The sequence below is a fragment of the Homo sapiens genome, chromosome 7 (genome assembly GCF_000001405.40).
Source record: "Homo sapiens chromosome 7, GRCh38.p14 Primary Assembly".
Classification (NCBI taxonomy): Eukaryota; Metazoa; Chordata; class Mammalia; order Primates; family Hominidae; genus Homo; species Homo sapiens.
In genome coordinates, this window is record NC_000007.14 from 107105965 (window position 1) to 107127686 (window position 21722).

A 21722-nucleotide genomic window follows, 5' to 3' on the forward strand; every position below is an offset into this window, starting at 1 on the left:
TTAAGAGTTAGCTCATGGGGGGTTGAGGTCCTATTTTTGCCTATTGTAGCTTCCTCCTAATGTCAGGAGCAGATTGAGTGATAAAATGCATACCAGGGATAGCTCACCCTTTCGGGGAATCTGGGTCTACATTAGTGTATTTCCTGAGTGCCTCAACCAAACAGCCCTGGAACAGAGAGGGATTTTATTCTTCTCCTGAGTTACTTCTCTAACCTTGTCATAATTTACTAGCCTAACCACACACTTTTCCATACCTTTTGTTAAACAAGTTGCCACGTGATTTCTGCATTTAAGGTCTTGGGAACCCCTCTGGTAATCCCACTGAAGGTCTGGATCTGGAACTGCATCGCACCCCACAAGAAAAATGGCTCGGCCTTGGTTATGAGTGGCCACTCCATCTACATATTCATGGACAGTACCCAGAATCATTTGTTTATCCTCTACCATACATCAGATGGACAATAATATTTGCAACTCATGTCAAGTTAAGTCGAAAGACTTGGCCAACTTAATAAACTCCTATATAAACTTCTCTGGATCCTCCAAAAACTGACCAAATTTCTCCTTTGCATAAAGCCAAATCACACATAGAAAAAGGTACATGTTTGTGGACTCTCCCTCCATCTCCATCAGCTACCTCCTGCAAGGGATGCAGGTTTGATTTGGGGGGCTGATGTGAGGTCCCACTCCTGGTGGCACTGGTTGGATTCACTTCCTTGGGCAGTCGGGGGTATAGGCTGAGGCTAGCTGTAAAAGCCGGAGGGGTGTTTGGTGACTTTGGGGGTAGAATCTTACACTGGAGACCTGGCAGGACCCCCCTCAGAATCAAGGGACCGAGGGGGCTCCCAGGGGAGAGAGTGTGGCCCTTCTAGGTGGAGTGGCTAGAAGGAGATAATCTAGGATATCTGGTGTGGCTTCTTGGTGCCTGGAAGTAACATGAGCTAGACACATCCTACAGTTGTCCCTTAAGTCAAGATCCTGATAAAATGCCATAAAAGCCTGCACATAAGGGGCCTCTCCTCATTTTTCCTCCTTTTTACAGAATAAGTCCAATTGTAAAATAGTATCATAATGTAAAGAACCATTTTTAGGTTGGGTGCGGTGGCTCACGCCTGTAATCCCATCATTTTGGGAGGCCGAGGTGGGTGGATCACCTGAGGTCAGGAGTTCGAGACCAGCCTGGCCAACATGGTGAAACCCCGTCTCTACTAAACATACAAAAATTAGCCAGGCATGGTGGTGGGCACCTGTAATCCCAGCTACTCGGGAGGCTGAGGCAGGAGAATCACTTGAACCTGGGAGGTGGAGGTTGTAGTGAGCCGACATGGCGCCATTGCGCTCCAGCCTGGGCGACAGAGTGAGACTCCATCTCAAAAAAAAAAAGCCATTTTTAGGCCAAATTTCTTGGTTTCCCAATTTGTATTGGACCCAAGTGGTGTTGCTAAACTAAAGAAAATTAGTTTCTTTTTAAGCGATTTAATTTGACTTTGCTTCAGTTGCCTAAAAAGCACCCTAGCAATGAGTCCTCTGGGATGCTTCCCGTTGTCCCCCTAACAGGGATCTCTGCTAGACAGTAGTACAAATGCCATCAATTCCTGAGAGCCTAAGTACAGTTAGGGTGTGAAGAAACTCAATTATGAGGTATGAATGGGTAGTGAAGTGATCACTCTATCCAGCAGCAAGCAGAATATGACAAAAGAGGTGTTTTTTTTAAGACAGAGTCTCGCTCTGTCACCAGGCTGGAGTGCAGTGGTGCGATCTTGGCTCACTGTAGCCTCTGCCTCCTGGGTTCAAGCAATTCTCCGGCCTCAGCCTCCTGAGTAGCTGGGACTATAGGTGCGCGCCACCATGCCCAGCTAATTTTTGTATTCTTAGTAGAGACGGGGTTTTACCACGTTGGCCAGGATGGTCTCCATCTCTTGACCTCGGGATCTGCCTGCCTTGGCCTCCCAAAGTGTTGGGATTACAGGCGTGAGATGCTGTGCCCGGCCAAGAGATGTTTTAATAAGCAAAGTGTAGAAGGATAGGTAAAGTAGGGTGACAGGATTCTCATAGTCTGAATTCCAAAAAAAGCACAGAAAGAGGAGGCTGAAAATGATCAGTATGACAAAGACCAACAACCCTAACAGGGTGCCAAATGCTGAAAAACCTGGAACATGAAATGCCAAAAAACCCAGAGCATCCAGGAGTTGGCCCATCATGAACCCCAAAGGCACGAGACCTAACACAGTTGGGGCCACTGGACAACGTGACTCTGGCATCCCAAAGTTAGCACAACAGAGGACTTCTGAAAATTACCAAAAGAGGATTCAAAACAGACTAGGAAAGTGTCCCGACTTACATAGAATAGAAACAGTTGCTCAGATAGCCAAAGCAAAGACAACAGATGTGAAAGAAAACAAAATAAGCATTAGAATAAAACAGCCATTTATTAGAGACTAAAGAGACAAAAAGATTTGAGAGAAAGCGTGACAAGGACATGGCAGGCGTGCTCCTGTCTGGGACACCCAAATGATAGGGGATAATGAACTACCAAGCCAGAGGCCTTGTTCCCTCTTCTTGGTTCACCCAAAAAGATCAATGTCAAGGGGGAACAGAGGGGAGACTCACCTGTCCTTCGAAGCCATATGGTGTTGATTGGTCTTAAATTGGCATCTGGGTGAAGGTTTCCCTCAGTTTTGCTTAGATTATTAGTCACCAGGAATGATGATTGGCTCTAAAAAGAGCCTTTGGCTCCTGTACAGCTCTACAGCCTTATAGAGTTAGAGCTCCATAGTGTTATAGCTCCAGAGCCCCAATTTTTACTGAGCCCCTTTGTCATGTTCATCTTGTTCAGTGTTGTTTATTCCTTCATGGTTGCCAGGCTGATACAAGTGAACCCCAGAATTGGGGCTCACCCTGGGAGAGTTCTTGGCTTTGCTCAGGAAACAATTCAAGAAAAGCAAGTTCTTACAGCAACAGTGTCCAGCCAAATGACTGCTCCATAGACAGAGCAGAGCTATCCCAGAGCAGAGTGGGCAGAGTGGCTCATAGCAGCCCTTGTGGATTGCTGGCTAGCTATATTTATACCCACTTTTAATTACATGCTAAATAAGGGGTGAGTTATTCATGAACTTTCTAGAAAAGGGGTGAGGAGTTCCCAGAACCATGTAAGGTAACCTCCAGGTCATTGCTGTGGCATCATTTGTAAACTGTTGTGGTGCTGGTGGGAATGTCTTATGCAAATGAACTATAATTCCTAGTCCTAGCTGGTTTGGGCTGGTCTCTTTACTACATCATAGTTTTTGTTTTTGTTTTCATTTTGTTTTTTTAAGAGACAGGTTTTCACTTTGTTGCCCAGGCTGGTGTGCAGTGACATGATCTTGGCTCACTGCAGCCTTGACCTCCTGGGCTCAAGCAGTCTTCCCACCTCAGGCTCCCAAGTAGCTGGGACTACAGGCAGGCACCACCACACTCAGCTAATTTTTTTTTTTTTTTTTTAAGAGATGAGGTCTCACTATGTTGCCTAGACTGGTCTCAAACACCTGGACTCAAGCAGTCCTTCCACCTCAGCCTCCTAAATTGTGGAACTACAGACATGAGCCACTGTGCTTGGCCTACATTCTGTTTTGATCAGCAGTGTCATGAAAACAAGCCCTGTTAATCTCCTATCTTACTAGCAAGGTGAAGAAATAGAAAAATAAGAATATCATAATCATACTACCGAGGAATAGCTACCATACAAACTTTGGTGTCTATCCTACCAGAATTTTTTCATGGATATTTTCTGTAGGTTCAAACTATGCATCTATATTGAAACTCTCTTAAAAAAAATAGTAAAAGTTGGTGAACAATTTCCAATGTCATTAGATACTCCTGTAAAACATAATTTTTAGGAGGGGCAGAGCAAGATGACTGAATAGAAGCCTCAACCAGTTGTTCCTCCCCCACCCCACGGAAGGACATTATTGAACAACTATCCAAAAGAAACACCTTCATAAGAACCAAAATCAGGTGAGCACTCACAGTACCTGTTTTAACTCTATAGAACTGAAATGGCCACTGAGGAGGGTAGGAGACAGTCTTGGGTTACCAGCACCACCCCTCCACCATCCTCCAGCAGTGGCCGCATGGTGCAGAGAGATAATCCATGTGCTTGGGAGACAGAGAGAGTGTAGCAGTTGTGAGACATTATATCGCACTCAGTAATGCCCTGTCACAGCAAGAAGCAAAAGCAAACTAACTCAGCTGATGCCTGCCCACAGAAGGAATATTTAAACCAGCCCTAGCTAGAGGAGAATTGCCCATCCCAACAGTTGGAAAGTTCCGGCAAGCCTCACCACCTTGGGCTAAAGTGCTCTGGGGCCGTAAATAAACTTGAAAAACAGTCTAGGCCACAAAGACTTGAACTCCTAGGCAAATCCTAGTGCTGATGTGGGCTCAGAGCCATTGGACTGGAGAGGCACGCGAGTTACTGAGACACTGGGATGGCTAAGGGAATGCTGGCATCACCCTTTCCACAACCCCAGGCTTCATAGCTTGCAGCTCCAATTGAGACCCTTTTCTTCTGCTTGAAGAGAGGAGAGGGAAAAGTAAAGAGGACTTTGTCTTGCATCTTTGATGCCAGCTCAGCCACAGTAGGGTAGGGTGGTACCCGTTAGAGCCACGAGGCCCTCTTCCCAGGCCCTCATTCCTGGACGATACTTCTAGACATACCCAGGGCCAGAAGGGAACCTACTGCCTTGAAGGGAAGGACCCAGTACTGGCAGGACCCATCACCTGCAGACTAAAGAGCTTTGGGCCCTGAATAACCAGCAGCAATACTCAGGTAGTACACTGTGGACCTTGGGTGAGTCTTTGAGACTTGCTGGCTTCAGGTGAGACTTTACACATTACCAGCTGTGGTGGCTACAGGGAGAGACTTCCTTTTGCTTGCGAAAAGCAGAGGGAAAAGTAAAGGGGACTGGATCTTGCACCTTAGGTACTAGCTCAGCCACAGAGGGGTAGAGGACTAAGTGGGCTTTTGGGGTCCCCAATTCTAGGACTTGACTCATTGATGACTTTTCTGGACTTGCCCTAGGCCAGAGGGGAGCCCACTGCCCAAAGGGAGCATCCCACGCTAGGCACCCTTCATCATAAGCGACTGAAGAGCCCTCCCTAAGGGAACATCAGCAGTAGCCTGGCAGTACGCCCCATAGGTCTATAGTGGTGGTGGCCACAGGGTGAGGTTCCTCTGCTTAAGGAAAGGGGAGAGAAGAGTGGGAAGGACTGTCTCAGTGCCAGCTCAGCCACAGTACAGTAGAACACCAAGTAGACTTCTAAGATTTTTGACTGTAGTCCCTGGCTTGCTGATGGCACCTCTGGATCTGCCTGGGGCTTGGGAGCTCGCCACCATGAAGGGAAGGACACAAGCCTGGCTGACTTCACTTCCTGCTGATTGTAGAGCCCCAGGGCCTTGAGTGAACATAGGCCATAGCCAGGTGGTAGTCACAGCAGGCCTTGGGTGAGATCCCAGTGCCAGCTTCTGGTCTGACCAAGTGCAGTCCCAGTGGTGGTGGTCACATCTCCAGGCAGCTCAAAACACAGAGAGAGTCTCTGTGTTTGTTTGGGAGAAAATAGGGGAAGAGAACAAGAGTCTCTGCCTGGTAATCCAGATAGTTCTTCCAGATCTTATCTAAAACATAATTTTTAAATGACTACATAGATATCAGTAGTATATATGAATATTTATTTTAATTTTTTTGTTGGGAATTTAGATATCTCTTTTTAAACTGTCATTTATTCAGATCAAATTACTTGATGAGCACTTACGGAATTGGGCATGAAGAATTTCAAGACTTTTAATAACATTTCTAAACTGACCCCTCTGTTCCCACTTCCACCCCCAATTTAGAATTTCACCAGTAGTATGTAAAAAAGTCTATTCTAAACTCTGCATCCTGGCCAGGTGAGGTGGCTCATGCCAGTAATCGTAGCATGTTTGGAGGTCAAGGCAGGAGGATTGCTTGAGCCGAGGAATTCATGACCAGCCTAAGCAATATAGCAAGAGCCTCCTCTACCAAAAAAAAAAAAAAAAAAAAAAAAGCCAGGAACAGTCGTGTGCTCCTGTAGTCCTAGTTACTTGGGAGGCTAAGGCAGGAGGACAGCCTGAGCCCAGGAGTTTGAGGCTGCAGTGAGCTATGATTGCACCATTGCACTCCACCCTGGGTGACAGAGCAAGACTGTGTCTCTAAAAAAAAAAAAAAAAAAAAAAAAAAGAACCAAAAACCAAACTAGGCATCCTCTCTAATTAATACTGACTTTTATCAAGAAACAAGTAAGTTTGCTAATTTAATAGACTTAAAATGCTTAATTATTAGTTTATATTTCTTGTCTGTTATTGTCTTTATATCACATCATTTTTCTTTTTAATTTAAAGGTTCATTTAAATTTATCATTTATCATCTCACAAATCTTGATTTAAGTCTTGATCTGAAGAAATGAAAGTTAAAAAAGAAGAAATCTAAATTTCCAACAAAAAAACACAAATTAAAATAAATATCCATATATTATTACTGATTCCTATGCAGCCACTTAAAAATTGTTTTACAGGAGTACCTAATAATATAGGAAAATGTTTACCAAATCTTATTTTTATTTTTTTAAAGCAGACTTTATAAGACAAATGTGTAGTTTGAACTCACAGAAAATAACGCGTGAAAAAAAGGCTGATGAGTTCCCCTTTACAAAATGGAAATGGAACTTTTCAAGAAGAAATGCTTATTACGTTTTTTACATGGATTTATTTCTTTTGCCTTTAATTAATGAAAAAAACCAGTCTGAATTGTATTGTTTTGTAAATATGTGTTCTATATTTTGAATCTTTGGATATTGATTTGCATTGCTGTATCACAATTTGCTTATATTTAATAGCATCAATAATTTTTTTAGACTTCTGATAATCAGTAGAGAGGCTTGATTGAAATATGTTCCCCTAAAGCCCATATTTGATAGTTTTATTACTAAATTTAGAAGCCAGTAATTAAACTATTTTCTTATAATTATGGCTATATTTTAGTTCAAATTGCTCATCCTAAAGCCATCAGGTCAAATGATACTTGTTCTGAAAATATATTAATAAATTGGGAAGGATTCCGTAATATTTCTGTTCCTATAATTCTCTGATACGTGTATGCTAGGCAGCATTCATCTCAAAAACAGTAAATAAAACTACTCAGAAGCTTTAAGTAACTTTAGCTTTACTATATCTGAAAGACAAAATTGTATTCTGGTAAATGTAGCTATATCATTCATTATCAGTTAGTATTTATATTTAGATGAATGTGATTCAAGGTCTCAGGCCAAAATAAATGCCAAGAGATGATCGTATTATCTAAACAATTAGAGCATTGGCACAAATTCTTGGGAAGCTGTTGACTTTTTAACCAAAGTGTTAGGATTCTGTTTTTATTTCACCTTGGCATTTTAATTTCTTAAAATTCATAATGTTCATCAACTGCAATGCTTAGAAATCCTTACCAGACCATTTTCAGCAAAGTACAAATATAGTTTCTATTACAGTTCTGTCCTCTAGTACAAGTTGATCCACTTACTCTCTGCTGCTTGATAGTTCTAGAGAACAGCATTGAGGAATTCTGATGATTAGTCGCAAACAACATTGACTTTAAAAAATGGATAGTTTCCCAAACATATTATCCTCCGAATTATTCTTCTCGCTCTTTTTATTATATCTGTTTATCTTATTCTTAGTCATTTGTGAGGTTTTATTTTTTGTCTTAAAGAAAATTTACTTTAAATAGAGAATTTGTAAAATACCGTGGATTACATGCACCTGTCTTTTCTTGGGTTAGTCTTGTATCTTTATCTAAGGAACACTGGGAGCTAGAGGGGACCACTGTTCCATTGTGAAAGAGTGAAGGTTTGTATGGTGTTTCCTCTATTGTCAGAATCGCACGGGCTACTCATGATGTATGAACAGTAGAATTAAGTAGAATATTTGAGCCTATCCTGTTCTGGACTCATCCTCTTAGAAACGTTCTTTGTTGATAGGATTCCTTTGATAAACCGATTGAATGCTCTGTCCTCTTAATTGTGCCATGCTATAAATAAGTCAGTTATTAAAAGAAATGGTTGATGTTTTATAGACTGAATGCATACTTGTAGAGCATGTTGTAGAAAGATACTTTATTGAGGTTAGTTCCAGTGATTGAGTACACATACTTAAGTTTTTAACTCTTTGGAACCCAAGAGTAGAATAAAAAATTATTTACAAAACGTATGTGGGTTCTGACATAGGGTATTGTTTTTCCTTTGGAGGCATTTTTGAAGAAAAAAAAATTACACATTACAAAAACCAGATTAAAGAGTTTGGCATGTACAGCTGTGTGTGTGTGTGTGTGTGTGTGTGTGTGTGTGTGTGTGTGTGTGTGTGTGTTTGAGACTAAGTCTTGCTCTGTTGCCCAGGCTGGAGTGCAGTGGCACCATCTCGGCTCACTGCAACCTCCGCTTCCTGGGTTCAAGTGATTCTTGTGCCTTAGCCTCCTAAGTAGCTGGGATTACAGGCACGCACCACCATGCCCGGTTAATTTTTTTTTTTTTTTTTTTTTCTTGGAGAGGGCATTTCGCCATATTGGCCAGGCTGGTCTTGAACTCCTGACTTTAGGTGATACACCTGCCTTGGCCTCCTAAAGTGCTGGGATTACTGACGTGAGCCACCATGCCTGGCCAGCATGTACAGTTTTAATAAGAGGAAAATACCAAATGAAGAGCAAATTTTTATTTGTTTGAAGGTCTCAATTGCTGCTTATTTATGTATTTCAGCAATACCCTTCCCAATAGTGTCCTGAACTTGATGTTTACTTGTGGGGTGTGAATGTTAATTAATTATACAGTCCCTTAAAGAGTAGTGGTATACATGTAAAGGAAAATCTTTTTAGAAACATAAAAACATAAAAAGGAATTAGTAAATTTGGAGTTTTATTCTAAATACTGCTGTTAAAGGGCTACAAAAAATAATGGGCTTATAATGAATCATGGCAATTTAGTCAAATATTTAAAATATCTAAAATGTTTATGAGACAGCAGAATATTTTATAGTAGAAGTAATAGGAAAAAAATTTTACAGAAATTTTTTAGGAATAGTAATTACATGTCTGGGATGGTTTAGAACCTACCTAAATAAAGGTAAAAAATACAGTTTTATAGAGAACTAGAAAGTGGTTTGTGAATGGCTAATTCTTAAAGCTCCATTGATAACCTTGGGGAGAGGCAGAACATCCTAGATTAAATAGAAATTGTGTTTCTGTTATTTCATCAAGACAGGGTTATACAGTTAAGTATCTTGGCTAAAATCTTTATAGTAAAATTTTGCTGACATGAACATCGCTGGTCTGGGAATTAAATATTCACTTAAGTACTATTTCATGAACAGTGCCAGAATTTCTGCCAGAAAGGTAAAAGATATATTTATATTGCGTTTTTTATAGCTGAAATGTAGCCTGTAACCGAGTGGATTATAGTAACTTAATATTTTGATGCAGGAAGTAGGAAAATATTAAAAATTGAAAGGTGGTTTTAAGGAAATTGTAATGGTTCTGTTCAGAGTTTATGAGACAGCCTTATTCTGTAGACTTTTAAATTATGAACTTCCCACCTATTTTTATGTAAATGGTGATGTCAGTTTCAGCCTTTCCTCCATTTGCCTTAAGCCAGAGAAAGAGAGAGGGAGAGAGAGAATAAGAGAGAGAGAAACACCTTGTGTTGGGGCCATCAAATGGTTTTTTTGATAGTCATCAGTGGTATTCACAAAATTCTGGTTTTCTTGCCTTCTGAGGTTGTAGTAACACTTGCACTTCCCCATCTTGCTGAAGTTAGGACTGACCATATAACTTGTCTAATGCAATGTGATATATATTCCTTATTGGCAGAAGAGACATCTGTCACTTCTAGGCAGAAGCTTTAGGGACTGGTGGCCTTCCAAATTGCAGAGGCTCCATTAGCCTGCAGCCTTCAGTAAGGAAGTGGAACCAAGTACTCACTCTCCTGAGGTGGACATATTATGTGACCAAGAAATACACTCATGTTATTTTGAGTCACTGAGATTATGGCAGTGTTTGTAACTGTTGTGTAAGCCAGTCTAATCTGACATATGCAGTATGCAATTTCTTTATGCCTAAGGTTAAGGAAGAAGATAATAACGTTTCTCACCGACTAAAGTGACCATTTATTTCTTCGGTCATTTTTGTTAACATTTACTGTGTGCCAGTCACTGTTCTAGGTGCTAGGAAAATAGAGGGAACAAAACAAAGCAATCTCTTCTTCCCACTCTTTGTTAATTCTTTAGGGAACCTCCTTTGCTGTGAAGCCTTTCCCTGCCCTCTGAGCTACCGGTTGCTCCTTTCTCGTCTGTGTTCCTCCGGCACTTTGTAGATATCGTCATTGTGGCACTGATGTTATCATGATCATTCTATTTCTGTCTTGATTTCTAGACTGTTTCTATAAATGTTTTAAATATAGTACATATATAATATTGAAAGTAATATAAAATGTGTAGGCAAAACAAGTTACACATTATATAAAATGTATAACAGAAGAATATGTATACATACACATAGATGCTTTGCATTATCCCTTTATTCCCTTTATGTCATCCCCCACATTTCAAAAAAATATTTTTTGAATGAATAAATAAGGCTTCCTGTGGGTCTTTTAGGCAAATGTGATTTGGGAACAAAATGTGAACTTCTATATTTTGGGCATGTTCTTCCAATGCCTTTGCTCTGTGAATTCAAATTTAAGAGCATTACTAATGGATGAGAACAGGTCTATACCAAATTACCTGGGCAGAAATGTGAATGAACAGGGGCGGGGGAAGCCTATTAACTTGTCATTGTGCCTCTTCCCTTTACTTAGCTATATATATACATATATATATATACACACATATATATATATGTGTGTGTGTGTATATATATGTGTATATGTATGTGTGTATATATATGTGTGTGTGTGTGTATATATATATATATGTGTATATATATAATTGTTATACCCTTTTACCAGTGTTTCTCAATCTTTTTTCCATTATCATCCCCTACCCCCAGTCTTTTTGGACTGTTGCCCCCTAAATGCCCCCAATGAGATTTTACTGCCACAGAAATACCGTATATCTGTTTATGTATTGAACGTATATCTGTGCTTTATAAAAAAATACAGTAAGTCTTTTTGCCCCCTAAGAACGAGTTTTCTTGGTTGATGCATGCCTTCAACTAATATTTGAAAAAGGTAATTTTTTTTTCCTTTGTAGGAGGGCGTTTCCCCTTCAATAAGCTAAGTTTAACTCTACTGAGTCACAACTCTGTTATTTAATACACCTGTGCTTTTGTAACAGCTTTATTTTAAGCTAATTATTATTTAAATAAGTATGCTAAAATCTTAGTTTATTGAGAACATTGGCAAATTAACTTTTATATATTTTATGGAAGTCAATTTTTCTAGATTGAAGGCCTCTAAACCACGCATTCTGTGCAAACTGTATTTGCCTTTTATTCCTTCAGCATATACTTACTGAGCGTCTAGAGTGTGCAAGACTCTGCCAGAGCTGAGGACCCAGTGAATCGTGGAGTTCAGTCTGCTTCCTTTAACTCCTTGCTAGCCAGGATGCGAATATGGGTCATGTATACTTGTCTAGTGCAGAGTCGTTTTGACCATACTGATTTTTAAAACATCAACAACAAAATGTTGTGGGCTTTTAGTGAAAAATCCTGGAAGTTGAATAATCCCTCATCTATCATTCTTTATGTATAGCACATGAAAAGGTTGAGGGCCAAGTCCCACAATATGCGAAGTCAGTATAGTTGGTATTTTCCTGTTCTGTCCTGCAAGTTGTGACCATTGTCTGGCTACACCAGTGCACATTACTCTATCTGCAATGTGGGAATCTGCTTAAATTCTTGGGCCATTCTGTATAACCAGTGTAGTATATACATATATGCACAACAAAACAGGGAAACCTCAATATAAGATTCACTTAAAGAATAAGATTCTGGTTCTCACCACTGTTGAATTGCCAAACAAAAAGGATGAAGTATATAGTTTCAAGCTAAATTTCAGATTGCGTAGGAGGCATGGGGCAAATATGTTTCAGAAAGAACACAAGGGAGTACAGGTTATCTGGAGGCTTTGGTTTGAGTGCCCATCCAGAGATAGAGCCATTCATTCATTTATTTGTTACAGAAATATTTACTGACCTCCTAATCTTTGTGCCAGGAATTTTGGTGAGTAAGACAAAAGGCTCTCATTTTCACTCATCCTCTCTGTCCCCATTTCTTGGACAAATTGTGTAGGACATTTTAACATTGAGCAAGTTTTCATTCATTCATTCATTCATTCATTCATTCAATGTGTGTTTGAGTGTGTATAATACAAGTACATTATTGTGAGATATTTAAAAAAGACATCTCTGCCCTCAAGGACCTTGCAAGCTTGTTTGTTCATCAACCAGTCATTTATTTAAAAAAAAAAAAAGCATTGAGCTAGTAGGCAATGTGCCAAGTCAGTGCTAGGGAAATACAGAGATGAACAAGAGCACACAGTCGGTTCCTGGAGGGCTGCGTCTCAGCCTGGAGAGGCAAACAGCTTGTAACATCTTTGGAAGCATGCAGTGTGGTAAATGACAATAATGAGCTCGTCCCACTGTATTGCGAGAGTGCAAAGGATGAGCACAGAAGTGGAGTTTCCAGAATTAGTTCTGTGTGGGTGAAAGGTCAAGATGTGACTCTCCATCTGACTTTTTAGTTGAGGCTGGAGAGAAGGGTTGGCTTGGAAAGGAGATTGGAGGGAGTTCAATCAGAAGAAACAGTTTAAGTGTTGATAAGGAGCTTTATAAGGCACGATGACAGCTTTACAGAACTGCAAATACTTTATTTTGATTTGGCTGCAGAAGGTGGGGGTAGATGAATTCTAATGTAGTGAAACAATTGCAACAGGAATGCCAAGAACTAAGTCCTTGTAGTACTGGCACAATGTATAGTTCAGTGAAACAGCCCAGAAACAGACAAACACACTATGTGATAAAGTGGGTATCACAAATCAACAGGGTGTTAAGTAATAATATTGAGACAATTGATAAACTCTTTGGAAAAATAGTAGATTCTTACTCCAGATGATTTTTAATTAGGACTTAGGGGCTAGGCACTTAGAAATTTGAGAATTAGGATTGATTTCTGTGAATTAAAATTTAAGATCAACAGTAATGGATCAGAGGGTGGGGGTGTGTGTATGTGTAAAACAAGTTAATCTTAACCAAATATCTTGCCTACTGCCTACTGCCTACTGCACCACCTCGTTGAATGTGTCAATCCTGTGAACATGGCCAGCTTCATGGGCCCTGCACTCACGAGGGCCGTGCATTTGGTTTAATGCTCTGCTCTTGTTGTCCTTTGGAAAGTCTTAATTTTTGAAGATGGGGCCCATATATGGTGGTTTTTGTTTCGTTTTGTTTTGTTTTGTTTTTGCACTGGGCCATACAAATTATGTAGCATTCCTGCCTATGAAGTTGGCCATCTCTGGGGACAGAAAGTTAGAGAGCCAAGCTTTAGAAGTAGATATCCTTGTGTTCTCTGGAGAGTCGCAGCCAACCCAGTTAAAGTGTCCCAGACACATTGGCAGGGCCATCCCTATTGAGTGCCTCAGGCTATCCAGCCTGATTCCCTGAAACATTCAATTTATTTAACAAAGTTTCCTACTTCCCATTTCCTGCTCACCAAGCAATCTTTCAATAGTGACTTGGCTGCTTCTTTGGTTTTCCAGCAGGGAGAGATCTAGCTAGTTGTGCTGGTCCCATCCTTCATTCAGGAAGGTAGTTACTAAATTGGCAATCTGGTTTCATATGTCAGTGAGGTTCTTTAATGTGAGCCTGCTTCTGCATGACTGGTCCATTCCTGTTACGTTTCTGAGACTGAAGGCTGAAGTCCAGGAATTACGCGGGTAAATTCACCAAAGCAGTCATGTGTAGAATAGTGGTTAAGAGCAAGAGCTTTGGAGTCAAGACACACAATCCTGGATAAAACGTGGGTCCTGTCACTTACTAGGATGTATGTATGATCTTGGCTTTCCTGTGCCCTAGTCTTTCATCTGTCAAGTGATGACATTAACACCTACCTTAAGGTTGTTGTGAGGTTGAATGAGATGATGTACTTTAGATCAGGGTTTCTCAGCCTCGGTACTGTTGACATTTTGGGCCAGGTAATTCTTTCTGTTCAGGGCGGGGTGTTCGGTGCATCATAGAATGCTTCCAGCATCCCTGGCCTGTACCCAGTAGATGCTAGTGGCATCCCTCTAACCCCCTATAGTTGTGACAATTAAAATGTCACAGAGGTGGAATCACCTCTGGTTAGTACTTGGTTAAGAGTCACTGGTTAAGAGTCTCTTGGTTAAGAGTCACTGGTTCAGGTGTTTAGAGTGGTGCCTGGGGGAAAGAAAATGTTTTATGATATAATAATAATAATGGGAATAGTGGTACCAAAGATGATACTACTTTTGATGCCACCCTGAGGGACCTAGGAAGACATTCGTCAGCCTTTCATTTATTCTTTGTCCTTAAATTTTTATATCTATGCCAGAATAAACTCCATGTAGATTAAATAGTACATGTAAAAAGCTCTACCTTTAAACAACTGAATGAAAAAGAAGTAAATCTTCAGATTTGCAAATAAGGAAAGGGTTTTCAAGGTCAAAAGCAGTGATACTTCTGTGATGTTTAATGTTGGGTTTAAAACACATTGGGGAATTTTCTTTCCTCATAGATATCATGACATTAAAAATAAATATGCATAATCTATAAAAACTTTGTAGTTACAATTGAAAAGCAAATTGGATAAAATGATTGTGAGTAATATGACAGATAAAGTGGTATGAAAAAACTAATTTAAGTCAAAAAGAAAACCAAATATTTCCTATAGATAAGGACAAAGGAGGAAATACAACCATCCTATAAACATTTGCTATGGCTTAAAATCTTTGTCAATTTAAATAAATAATTTAAAATTTTTTTAAATATTATTAAATTCAAACTATTTAATAATTTTTTAAAAAATTTTAAATTATTTATTTAAATTGACAAAGATTTTAAGCAATAGCATCCAATTCTGTTGTACAGTTAGGGGGGTCTTATTACATATTTTTTGTCGGACAATCGATAGGTACAATCCTTCTAGAAAGAAACATGGTGATAAATGTGCCCTAAAAATGGTCATACAATTTAGCCCCTGCAAATAACTTTGGGAATAATGCTTACAGCATAATCTGAAATATAGACAAATATCGATGCATGAAGGTGTTTACTGCAAAGTTGTTTTAATATAAGCCAGCTAAATGTTCAGTATTAGAGAAATAGTTATTTACGGCATATAATAATCTGCAATCCTTAAATGATAATCTTTACACAGTGTTTCTAATGACATGCAAAATTCTTACAGTGTTAAATGAAAAAAGTAGGTTTTTAAGTTGCATATGCAATGTAAACTCAACCCAGAAAAAAGACTGGAAGGAAATACCCAAAACGTTAATATTTGTCGCTGAAGTACGCAAAATGTTAATATTTGTTCCATAATATTTAGATTATGGATAATTTGTGAAAGTTAGTCACAACTATATGATTAAATTCATCATTTCATGGCAGACAGCCTTTTCTTTTGTTTCTGTTCCTTTAGGTAATGTTTAGATATCATGCCTTGGAAATGAAAATGAAAAGGTTTAAGCTATGTTTCTCTAAATAGGAGAAATAAAAAAGAAAGTGTCAATGCCCTAAAATACAGCTTTATTTTTAAGTAAATTATAAATTGCAATATGAAACCAATTTTGGGGGGTAGACTGCTTCTCCTGGTTGAGGTGAATTAATGGTTTTTTATACCGTGGTACTCTTTTTGTTCATTAAGTGTTAACGATGTACTCATTGTAGTATGGTTTTTGATGAAACAATCTTTAAGATGTTCATTTTTGTTTTTATAGTATGTGCAGAAGCTTATAATCCTGATGAAGAAGAAGATGATGCAGAGTCCAGGGTATGTAATTTACTGAATGAATGAATTTTAAATTGATGCCCTTGTCATATATAAGGAAAATAATCATAGAAAAGATTTAACAGGCATGTAGGTTAACAGGAGACATAATGGAATTATTTTGACTGTTTCTTTTCCTAGTCTCATCTCCAATAGCCTACTCCTGCTGTGAGTCTTGCAGAATTATTTTTATCCAGAGAGTATTTCTCTTTACAAAATGTATCCTGGTGATGAAAAGTGTTTTCAGCTGTCTTTCTCATAGTGATAATATTATTTTTCTTAGACAGTGTTTCTAGTAAACAAAAATACTGGGAAAGACCTTCTACGCCTATTAATTTATAACAACGGAAAGTTACTCTGAAACAAACAAATCACGGTAAAATCACATCCAGTGTGTCAGTACAGCAGTTAGGATTATTTTTTAAATCTGTGAGTCTTCATAGTTTGCTCAGCAGCTGACTTCTTGCAGGCCCTAATGTTTTTGTAAGAATTTGTCCACTGTGATTTCAGCAGTTTTTAAGCTATGTCTTTCAGCTCAGTTCTACTATTTATTTAGTAAAAAGTAAACTAAAAGATGACTATGCCTGGAAATGGAAAGTAGTAATTTCTGCGTCACCCTCCCCCCCTTTTTTTGAGTACATGTGTTGCAAAAGTGCCTCTTGTTTCTTTGGCCTTAAACAGTATAAACAAAAACTTATTTTTGTAGCTCTGAAAAGTACATAAGTAAGATTGAGGTTTCATGTGGAGAAGCAGCTACTACGTCCCTAAGTCGTTACATCATTAAGCTCCTTGAAACTTATGTAAAATCCAGTGGTATCAGGAGGCTTACAACGTGGAAGATCTTGAAATCTCATTTTATTCCTGGACCCATGGGGATTCCCACTACCAGGGTTGTGGAAGCTCATTTCTCACTATTAGAACTTCAGTTCTTTTCATGAAGTTTATAAATCCTAGCCTGGAAATGATGTTGTTTTAGGATTAAGGTATTTTTACTAATCTGTGATGTGCTGTTACCCCTCTGTATAGTCTGAAAAACTAGACCTTGCCTACCGTATACTTTATGTATCTAGCAGAAACAATACCGGGTGGCAATGAAGACAACATGCTTCTTTATATTTGTGTATAAATGAGTATGATAAAATTTAGTAATTGAGATCAGAGCAATCGAGATGAGCTGGTTTAAATTAATAAAAACCTAAATTAATGAACATTTGCAATACAGTTTAAAAACAATATGCAGTATCTCATTGATTCAAAAGCTGTTAGGCCTTGAATTTTAGCTGCCATTTAATTGATGAGGTAAATAAAGTGTTTTGGCAGGTTCACTCCAGCTAATTTCTAATAGTTTTGTTGGGGAGGCTATACCAGTTAAGATTCATTTGACTGTGTAAAACCTCACCCTATGGAGACAAATGTGAAAAAGAAAACACTGGGGAGAGATTATCAGACAAATGCTTGGAGATCATATTGAACTGCAGAAAGCGTTCAAAGGCCAAGCTGTAGGCCTGGCAGGCAGGAGCCAGCCCGCCTCTGGTGTCCATCAAGAGCAAGAGTGTAAGACTTAGCGTAGTGTCTTTGAAACGGGTTCAGCTACCCATCTCTATTACTGTGTCTCTCAGTTCAAAATTCCAATTTCCAAAGAGTTTCTGATGGACCCAGCTTTGGCCCAGGGTAGGGCCAGGGTCAAAAAGTCCAACCTACTTGGGAACCACTTCTGTAAATAAGGGCAGTTACTAGAGGAGGAGGAATCTTTGTGGGGTGTGTATTTACCCTAAGATCTGTCCCCTGTAACACCTTTTAAAGTTATATTTAATAGTTTTTTTGTTAATGTATTATATGTTTGATTATAGCAAAGTACTTTTAGGTTATCAATTAGGTTGAGTATTCTCTCCTCTAAATGTGTTACTAAAAACTATACTTACTTTAGTCTCAACAACTATGAAGCAAACCATACCACATGCTTGGGAATGATTATTACAGATTTCAAAATTATTTAGATGTAGAAGGATATTGGGAAATATCTATGAGGAAAATGTATACTATATTGTGATAAAATTACATTTCATTTGGACATTTTGTATTACTTCTGAGACTCACCAAATCAGTAAGTCTGTAGTATAAACAGAAATTTATCGTCTGATATGAATTCAAAGAAAATGTAAATACTTAAGACTCATTTTGGAAAATAACAGATTTTAGTTGGAATGCCTTTAATAAATGAAAATGTAAGGGTTATCTAGATCTAGCATGTAGAAACTGGTAGAGAAGAGCTAATAAGGGTAGAGTATTTCTTATGTTTCTCCACAAAAATTTTTTGGAGTTCCACCTGTATATCTGGCCTGGTGCTAGGTGTAAAGTGGTGAGCAAATGGACAAGTCTCTGCCCTCTTGGAGCTTACAGTCTAGTGGCAGAAGCAGACAAGTGAATAAATTAGTGAAAAGTTAAAAAACATGAAGTGCTAAAGAAACAGTGAAACAGTGTAGGAATCAAAACACAGCCCCCAAGCCTCTGGGTCAAGTGATTCTCATGCCTCAGCCTCCCGAGTAGCTGGGACTACAGGCATGCACCACCACATACCTGGCTAATTTCTGTATTTTTAGTAGAGATGGGGTTTCGCCCTGTTGGCCAGGCTGGTCTTGAACTCCTGGCCTCAAGTGATCCACTCACCTTGGCCTCCCAAACTGTTAGGATTACTGGCGTGAGCCACTGTGCCTGACCGATATACAGTGTTCTTTAAAGAAAATGTCTAAGTTAAAACCTTACTTGTTAACTGTTTTTCTAATTTTTTTTTTTTAATGGAAAGGCAGCAGAAATTTAGAGCAGAAGTTGGCAAACTTTTTTTGGTAAATTTTTTTTTAACTGAAAAATGCACTATTTTCAGAGAGTAAATATTTTAGGCTTTGGGGAGTCATGGGGTCTCCTTTGCAACTACTCAGTTCTGCTATAGTAGCTTGAAAGCAGCTGTAGGTAATACATCAATGAAAGGCATGTCTGTTGGGTTACATTAAAACTTTATGACGCTTGAATTTGAATTTAATATAGATTTTATGTGTCAGGAAATATTATCATTTGTTTGATTTTTTTTCCCCCAGTCATTAAAAAAATGTAAAATTATTCTTAGCCTAGAGGCCATACATACAAAAACAGCTTTGCCTGCAGGTGTAGTTTGCTGATCCCTGGTTTAGAATATAGACTCTGTAGCTGGCCTGGCTGGCATGAATTCTGGCTCTGCACCTTGTGGACTGGATGACATTGGACAAGTGATTTGGGCAAGTTGATTTCCTTAACTCTAAATTTCTTAACCTGCTTCATGGGATCTGTCACTAGGATAAAATGAGTTAATATTAGTAAAGCCCTTAGAATAGTACCTGGCATGTATTTATGCTATGTTTGTTTAACAAATAAAATTTTTATCTGAAATCAGGAATGAATTTTAATGAAAACCAAAGTGGCCTCTAGTACACTAAAATCACACTTTGGGTGTATTGCTGAGGCCTCAGTGATCCAGAGAGAGATCCCTTAGGTGGGATCATGCTAAGCCCCAGAGGAAAAATGTAGGAGAGCATCTTCAGAGCAGGTGGCTGCAGTACAGAGGAGCTGGAGTGTCAGAGACCACACCCGCTTTCTGGCTGTTTACTTTCCCCAGTGAAGAGGGATTTTACCGACGAGGTTAATTACAGAGAGTGGACTCTGAGTGCTGAGGAGTAATGGCAGGGTGAGGGAAAAGGGAAACAGGAGGAGAGCAGTAGACCATAGTGATGGAGGTGGGGCTGAGAAAAAAAATACTACTTAGAAATGGTGATTGGGCTGGGTGCAGCGGCTCATGCCTGTAATCTTAGCAGTTTGGGAGGCCAAGGCGGGTGGATCATGAGGTCAGGAGTTTGAGACCAGCCTGGCCAAGATGGTGAAACCCTGTCTCTAATAAAAATACAAAAATTAGCTGGGCACAGTGGCAGGCACTTGTAATCCCAGCTACTCAGGAGGCTGAGGCAGGAGAGTCGCTTGAACCCAGGAGGCAAAGGTTGTAGGGAACCGAGTGCACCACCACTGCACTTTAGCCTGGGTGACAGAGCAAGACTGTGTCTTAAAAAAAAAAAAAAAAAAAAAAGAGGCCAGGCGCGCTGGCTCACGCCTGTAATCCCAGTACTTTGGGAGGCTGAACTGGGCAAATCACGAGGTCAGGACATCAAGACCATCCTGGCTAACATGGTGAAAACCCGTCTCTACTAAAAATACAAAATACAAAATACAAAAAAAAAAAAAAAAAACCAAAGCCAGGCGTGGTGGCAGGCACCTGTAGTCCCAGCTACTCAGGAGGCTGAGGCAGGAGAATGGCGTGAACCCGGGAGGCGGAGATTGCAGTGAGCTGAGATCGCACCACTACACTCCAGCCTGGGCAACAGAGTGAGAATCTGTCTCAAAAAAAAAAAAAAAAAAAAAAAGTCGTCATTGGTACGAGAGGTAGCAGGAAGAAGAGAGAAGAGGAAAAAGCTGGATTTCTGTGTGAAGGCTTATAGGAATTGAATGGGTTGGAGAGAAAGACATAAAGTTGACCAGAGCGAAGCAGGTGCACGATACTGATGCCTGATGCACTCTCCTCTCCCCCCTTTCCTTTCTGAGAACAGCTTCTCAGCAGGCAGACATCTCGGTTGCTTTGGTTTGAAGTTCTAGATGGATTTTGTGAAGTGAGAAATGACTTTCTGTTTTGTTTTAGTGTGTTAGCCTTCCTTATTTGAAGTAGGAGGAAGTGAAGTTTGGTTGGTGTGGTTTGGTTAATACCTGAATTTTAAAGGTTTCTTATGCAGCAGTGAATGAGAAGTCCCTGGGATCTACTTTGTCTGTGTTTGTGTGTCATCTTAGAATCTAGTTTGAGATGAATATTGGGCAGATAGTAAACAAAGGTTTACATCTACCTTACCCTTAGAGGGGAAAGTGCAGTGACCCTTTCTCTTACTAGCTAGTAGTTCTTTCATGTAGTCTTTACATAATGCAAATAAATGGTATATATATCAATAGTTTACATATAAATAGTTTAGCAATACTATAAGTTTCCCCAATTCTTTTCAGGCTTATAATTTTCATTAATTTTTAGCCATCTGATGTGGTTTGAAATGCTGATTTAAATTTCCCATTGTGAGTTTTGATGTTTGTGGCTATAAACTCCACTGCTGCCTGATTCTGTGAGCTCTGATGCTCTGATGGTAGGGCAGGCTGCCTGAAGAGGCAAGGTACCTGCCCATCAGCTCTTGTGGTCACTCTTTGAGTGAGCATTGGAATAGGAAAGGGTGGTGTGTAGGTCTTCAGGAAAACCAACTCCGTGTCTGCTGCTTTTAGGACTACCCCTTGCCCCTCTAACTCATTTTATAGTTACAAACTGTTCATGTTCACAAAAGAGTGGACCTTTTGGTCCAAGTCAGTTGAGCCTCCTGCTAGTGAAAAGGGACTCGAGAGATAGCAAGCCACACTTACACACACGGCATTCTGCCACTCTTCACACTCTAGAATACAAGTTTAGTGAGAATATAGCACACTAGTTTCCTTGAGTTCCTTCTGAAATCAGTGCACCAGCCAGCCTCCTTGGACTCTTTTTCCCTGGAACACATATTCTCTTGGAGTGGCAGTGCATGATTGTTTGCTCCCTTCTAAAAATCACTTGCTCGCTGTGGGGCAGGTACATACCACATG

The 21722-nt window shown here is 39.6% G+C and overlaps 1 protein-coding gene across 1 annotated transcript in view; it reads left to right on the forward strand.

Annotated features, from left to right (window-relative positions):
* PRKAR2B (protein kinase cAMP-dependent type II regulatory subunit beta) overlaps positions 1-21722 on the forward strand; it is a 117107-nt gene that overhangs the window by 61260 nt on the left and 34125 nt on the right. The window contains exon 3 of the mRNA NM_002736.3: positions 15988-16040. Coding sequence (NP_002727.2) covers positions 15988-16040 — 53 coding nt within the window. The remainder of the gene's footprint in view (positions 1-15987; positions 16041-21722) is intronic.